The sequence below is a fragment of the Homo sapiens genome, chromosome 3 (genome assembly GCF_000001405.40).
Source record: "Homo sapiens chromosome 3, GRCh38.p14 Primary Assembly".
NCBI lineage: Eukaryota > Metazoa > Chordata > Mammalia > Primates > Hominidae > Homo > Homo sapiens.
The window spans coordinates 48711196-48717427 of record NC_000003.12 but is presented as its reverse complement, the minus strand read 5'-3'; the positions used below and the strand labels follow the sequence as shown (position 1 = coordinate 48717427).

The 6232-nt window shown below is 46.3% G+C and overlaps 1 protein-coding gene across 25 annotated transcripts in view, besides 1 other annotated feature; it reads left to right on the top strand.

Moving 5' to 3' along the window:
• Positions 1–206: 206 nt before the first annotated feature.
• IP6K2 (inositol hexakisphosphate kinase 2) overlaps positions 207–6232 on the top strand; it is a 29219-nt gene continuing 23193 nt past the window's right edge. For 8 of the 25 annotated variants that reach the window (NR_027438.3, NR_027437.3, NM_001005909.3 and 5 more), the window contains exon 1: positions 207–271. Coding sequence is in view for 15 of the 25 variants with exons in the window: in XM_006713200.2 (XP_006713263.1) it covers positions 1993–2039 (47 nt within the window). In the remaining 10 variants the exon portion in view is untranslated. Of the gene's footprint in view, positions 997–1900; positions 2114–5968; positions 6062–6232 lie in introns of all 25 variants that reach the window. The other 17 variants (XM_006713200.2, XM_006713199.5, XM_017006591.2 and 14 more) reach the window with 5 other exon arrangements.
• Positions 4229–4728: an enhancer, noted in NCBI's record as "H3K4me1 hESC enhancer chr3:48750133-48750632 (GRCh37/hg19 assembly coordinates)". NCBI's record gives its function as "activates a minimal SCP1, AML or CMV promoter by ChIP-STARR-seq in primed H9 embryonic stem cells {active_cell/tissue: H9 hESC(primed)}" and the evidence as "EXISTENCE:reporter gene assay evidence [ECO:0000049][PMID:30033119]".

Here is a 6232-nt window from a genome sequence, read left to right as displayed (position 1 = left end):
GGCCCACCCTCCCAGACGGAGGACAATGCTCCGCCCTCTCTGGCCCCGCCCCCAGTCACCGCCTTTTCCGGAAGCTGCTGCAGCGAATCCTGGCACCCTAGCAACAGCGCCTTTCAGGCTGTCCAGTCCGCGTGCGCAGCTCCTAGGACGAGCCAATAGTGAGGGGCACCGGGAGCGAGGTGCAGGGGGCGGGGCTCGGCCTGGCCGCAGCCATTTTGGTGCGAGAGAAACAATAGGACGGAAACGCCGAGGAACCCGGCTGAGGCGGCAGGTAAAGCTCGCGTCCTATGGCCCTAGTGCCCGAGGAGCTTTGAGGGAGATTTTTTCAGGCTACTGGGAAACGGGATCTCTGATCATTGGAGTCTCCCAGGTTATTTGGGAAAGACTTCTTCCGTGGTCATTGTGGGGGAAATCTCCCGGGGTCCCTGTGGATTCGATTTCCCTGGGTCATTTGGGAGGAGGGTTTTTCTTCTGATCATTGGGGGAGGGATTTCCGTGGTTTTGGGGGTCCAGCATCCTCCCCGGTCATTGGAGGGGGTCTCCCGGGTTTGGGGGAGGGCAGGATCTTTCCTGGTCATTGAGATCTCCCCGGGTCTTGGGAAGCGCAAGATCTACGGTGTCATTGAGGGGTCTCCCCAGGTCATTGGCGGCCACGATCTCCCCAGATATTTGGCGGGTGGAGGGGTCTTCCCGGATCTTTGGATAGGGAGTCAGCTCAGCGCCTCAGGTACTGTTACCTGGGGTCGGCAGATGTGCAGCCATTTTGAGTGTTGAATGCCATTTGGGCCCGTCAGATGGTGTTCGATGAGGGAATCTACACACTTAACCTTATTATAGAAAAAATGCCTTTAAATGGATAAGAGGACACCTTTATAGTGATATTTCCACTCTTTACGTTTGATTACAGACCGCTTTTGTCTTTTGCATCCTAATGGCTTATTTCATTTTAGGATTGTATTCGTTCTCATATATCAACTAAGCTACACTAGCAGAAAAGTGAGTGAAAATAAAATGTAGAAACCAGTAAAATCCAGTGCTCTTAAATACCAGGGAAAACAGAACTAGTCACTGCTTGGAATTAAACATTTCCGTAGCAGAATGTACACAGAACAAAAAATCATCTTGAATAGTTTTAAGAAAAAGTACTGGCACTTTGGAACGTGGTAACAAAAATGTTGTAGATCATCGGTTCTATGATATTTTTAATAGAGGACCATGATTACAGTAATTTTGTTGAATTCTAGTGTTTAAAATGTTTGCTGTATTTGCAGTTGTAGCCAGGTAATATTTTAAGTGAACTAAGATGCTTATTTATATAGGTTGTTGCTGTGGGGTTTGTATAATTGCATCGTGTAACTTGGGTGTTAAGTATTTAAAGAGAAGCTTCAGGGTGTTGTTTTAACTTTAGCCACTATCAGAGTTAGAAAGGGCCAAATGAATACTTTATCACATTTGACATAATAGGCAAATTGATGGCCTAGTAACTTTTTTTTTTTTTGAGAAAAAGTTAAACTGTTAACTGTCATTTAAAATTTTTTTTCTATTTTCTGTGGTCTTGTCTGACATTGTCATTTCGATAGATTTACCTGCTTTGTGACTTTAGAATTCACAGGCATTGTTAGAAATCAAATGGAGAATCACTTGAGCCCAGCAGTTCAAGATCAACCTGGGCAACATAGCAACACCCTGTCTCTACAAAAAAAAAAAAAAAAAGAGAGAGAGAGAAAGAAATGAAATGGATAAGAACACTGACTAGAGTTAATACAATTGTAGAAACTAGCTTTTTGTTTGTTTGGTTTGTTTTTTATGCAGGGCCTGGGTAGGGAGGGAGCAAGGCAGGGACCTGGGAGATCTAGAAATCAGTGTAACAGATATAATAGATTTCTTTTGTGTTTCAAAGCTTCCTAGGTGACAGACAGGTACACTGTATGCTAGCCCTGTATCTGTCTGAGCAGTGGAATGTGCCAGGAAAGAAGGAGCAACCACTGACTGATGAACCTTTGCCAGTCTCCCTTCCAAGAGGGATGCCAGAGCCTTCTGTAAGCTCCTGAGATGTCACTGGTATCTAGGCAACAGGGATGAGCCTGAACCTCCCTGAGGCCAGCTTACTGAGGTGAAAATTTTCCATTGTTTGGCTCATAAAGAGGATGCACTGGGGAAGAATTTTCCCTTTAAGTGAAGTTATTTCACCTAGTGGGATAATCTTGGGTAACAAATTGAACACACTCTTATACATTAGAAAGTAAGCAGATGATTATTCTCATGTTATTACATTTTAAAGCATGTTTTTGTTTTTTTAAATTATGTTTTTGCCTATTTGTGTACCATATAATAAAAGTAATAAGAAGTAGTTGTGTTTTACAGTATATTCTGGTGGCAAGGAAATGTCCTTCTCTCCAAAAATTGAGTTTAGAGCCCACTTCAGGATTTGGAGAAGTCAATTTGCCGAGATGATGCACAGTTGATTTGGGTCTGTCATCCATAACCAGCTTCAGTAGTTACTAATTCCTGGCCAATCTTGTTTCATCTACACTGTGCCTATCCCCATCACTGCCCTACTTTTTTTTTTTTTTTTTTTTTGAGACGGAGTCTCTCTCTGTCGCCCAGGCTGAAGTGCAGTGGTGCGATCTCGGCTCACTGCAAGCTCCGCCTTCCGGGTTCACGCCATTCTCCTGCCTCAGCCTGCCTCAGCCTCCGCGCCTGGCCTGCCCTACCTTTTAAAGAAAGAAAGGGCCAGGGCCAGGCTTGGTGGCTCATGCATGTAATCCCAGCACTTTGGGAGGCCAAGGCGGTTGGATCATGAGGTCAGGAGTTCAAGACCAGCCTGGCCAACCTGGTGAAACCCCGTCTCTACTAAAAATACAAAAACTAGCCAGCCTCTGTGGCAGGTGCCTGGAATCCCAGCTACTCAGGAGGCTGAAGCAAGAGAATCGTTTGAACCCAGGGGGTGGAGATTGCAGTGAGCCAAAATCACACCACTGCACTCCCGCCTGGGCGACAGAGTGAGACTCCATCTCAAAAAAACACACACACACACACACAAAAAAAAGGAAAAAGAAAGGGCCGAGCGTGGTGGCTCACGCCAGTAACACCAACGCTTCGGGAGGCCGAGGTGGGCAGATCACTTGAGGTCAGGAGTTTGAGACCAGTCTGGCCAACATGGTGAAACCCTGTCTCTACTAAAAATACAAAAATTAGCTGGGTGTGGTGGCAGGATCCTCTGTCTCAAAAAAACAAAACTAAACAAATTTCTGGGATATGCTCCCTTTAAGATTCAGGGGTTTTTTGTTTTGTTTTGTTTTGTTTTTAATGAGACGGAGTCTCGCTCTGTCACCCAGGCTGGAGTGCAGTGGCCAGATCTCAGCTCACTACAACCTTCGCCTCTCAGGTTCAACCGATTCTCCTGCCTCAGCCTCCCTAGTAGCTGGGACTACAGGCATGTGCCACCGCACCTGGCTAATTTTTGTATTTTTAGTAGAGACGGGGTTTCACCATGTTGGCCAGGCTGGCCTCGAACTCCTGACCTTAGGTGATCCACCCACCTCGGCCTCCCAAAGTGTTGGGATTACAGGCGTGAGCCACTGCACCGCACCTGGCCTTTTTCTTTCTTTTTTGTATTACTATTTTTTTTTTTTTTTTGAAAAAATGTCACTCTGTCACCCAGGCTGGAGTGCAGTGGTGTGATCTCGGCTCACTGCAACCTCAGCCTCCCGAGTAGCTGGGATTACAGGCGCGTGGCACCACGCCCGGCTAATTAATGTTGTTTGCTTTCTCTATGTATCCACCTATCTTACTTGAGACACTCCTATGTGTTTTCGAAATTGAGTGTCTAATCCCAAACCTAAGGAAGAGTAAAACTTCTTTTAATGGAATAAAACATGTTAGTTACCAAGAAGCAGACATCTGGCTCTAGTGTTGCTTTTGCACTTAGTTTGTGAGAATGTGCCCAGTTGGAACCTGGGCTAGATCTCCTAAGTCTGGGTTTGTGGAAGGCTGCCACGTTGCCTGCTCTGGCCCTGGGGTGCTGTGGCCCAAGTTCCCCAGGCCATATTACTCTACCTTAAAACCCTACCTGTTAGAAGAGCCCACCTGTTATGGCTCCTTGCCTTGAACCTTGTCTTGCTCTTTTAGTTGGGGCTGCTTCGGGGCCAACAGGCCTTCGTAACTGAAGCTGCACACTCAAATGAGATGCCCCATGGGCCGTGTGAGCTTGTCTCAGCTTTCATGGGGATTGCAAAAATCTCGCATCCCCCTTCAGTATTTGTTTTATAAGAATAGTAGGTTATTTTTGCTTTGCAAGTATGAAACTAACATTGGATATGGCTTTTTGGTATAACTACTCACCTGCCCATTCAGATTTTTATGTGCCCTAGTGTCTTAGATTTATATATTTATTATTATTATTGTTGTTTTTGGAGACGGAGTCTCACTCTGTTGCCCAGGTTGGAGTGCAGTGGCGCGATCTCGGCTCATTGCAACCTCTGCCTCCTGGGTTTAAGCGATTGTCTTGCCTCAGCCTCCTAAGTAGCTGGGCCTACAGGCATCTGCCACCACGCCTGGGTAATTGTATTTTTGTAGTGATGGGTTTTCACCATGTTGTCCAGGCTGGTCTCGAACTCCTGACCTCAAGTGATCCGCCCACTCTGGCCTTCCAAAGTGCTGGGATTACAGGTGTGAGCCACTGCGCCCGGCCTGCACATACAAATTTTAAATAAAGACAGTCTCACTCAGTTGCCCAGGCTGGAAGGCAGTGCAGCGATCATAGCTCGCTATGGCCTCAACCTCTTGGGGCCATAAGTGATCCTCTTGCCTCAGGCTCCCAAGCAGTTGGGGCTACAGGCACATGTCACTGGGCGCAGCTCATTTTAAAAATTTTATTGTAGGCCGGGCATGGTGGCTCATGCCTGTAATCCCAGCACTTTGGGAGGTGAAGGCAGGCGGATCATGAGGTCAGGAGATTGAGACCATCCTGGCTAACACGGTGAAACCCTGTCTCTACTAAAAAAAAATACAAAAAATTAGCCGGGTGTGGTGGTGGGTGCCTGTAGTCCCAGCTACTCGGGAGGCTGAGGCAGGAGAATGGTGTGAACCTGGGAAGCGGAGCTTGCAGTGAGCCGAGATCGCGCCACTGCACTCTAGCCTGGGAGACAGAGCAAGACTCTGTCTCAAAAAAAAAAAAAAAAAATTTTTTTTTTGTAGAGACAGGGTCTCGCTTTTTTTTACCCAGGCTGGTCTTGAACTCCTGGCATTAAGCAATCCTCCTGCTTCAGCATCCACAAGCGCCAGGATTACAGGTGTGAGCCACTGCATTTGGCAAAGATCCCTTTTCTACATGGTATTGCTGAGGCTGCAGCCACATTTGTTTGGGGATTAACCTAACTCCAAGCCTGCCCACTTTCACTCTGATGCCCATTTGTTTAGATGTGCTTTAAACTTGGTGTCTGTGGACTGTGCCATGGTTCCTTCCTCCTCATCAGCAGGGGGTGGTGGTAAGTTCAGTTTGCGTGCTTTTATGGGGTGCCCTGTGGAGTTATATGCTTGGCTCTGGTGCTGAAGAGTCATCATATTTCTTGAGAACTTGCCTAGTTACTCAAGGAAGAAAGAGGAGGGCTGATTGTAGTATACTTGACCGAGGAATGTATGTTTTTATGAGCTTGAACAACCTGACAAGAAAAACAATAACAAATAACTTGTTAAACCATCTTTTTGCACGTTGCTGAGATTATGATCTTCCTAAATTAGTTAATTCTTATTAAACATTTTCAATTTTTCATCTATTATGAATGGAAGTTTTACCTGTAAGGCAGTAAAAGGTGTCATTCCTTGAACAGTATCTGTTCTTCCAGGCAAGTGCCTCTAAAGGAGAGAGAGCCCAGTTGATTACAAACCCACTACTGAAGGGCTTGGGTTTTTCTTGCTTTGTGTTTGTATCTGAGCATGAGGATAAAAGTGTCTGTCTCTTCCTCAGGTCTTTGGGCTGCCTCTGCCCTTCGTAGATTCTCTGCTGGGCCTTTGGAACTAACACAGCAACTTCCAGGGTCTCATGTTGAAGACTTTATGGGTTAGTCAGAATGCTGCATTTACACTGGGAAGGCCAGAGGAGGACTGTAAATCCAGGATACAAGGTCCTGGGGGATTTGGGAGGGTAGAATTTACAGGGGTGCCAGTTGGCAGCTGACAGGTTTAGATTCTGGGGCTTAAAAACTAATAGATGTGTGGCCTGGTTCAGTGG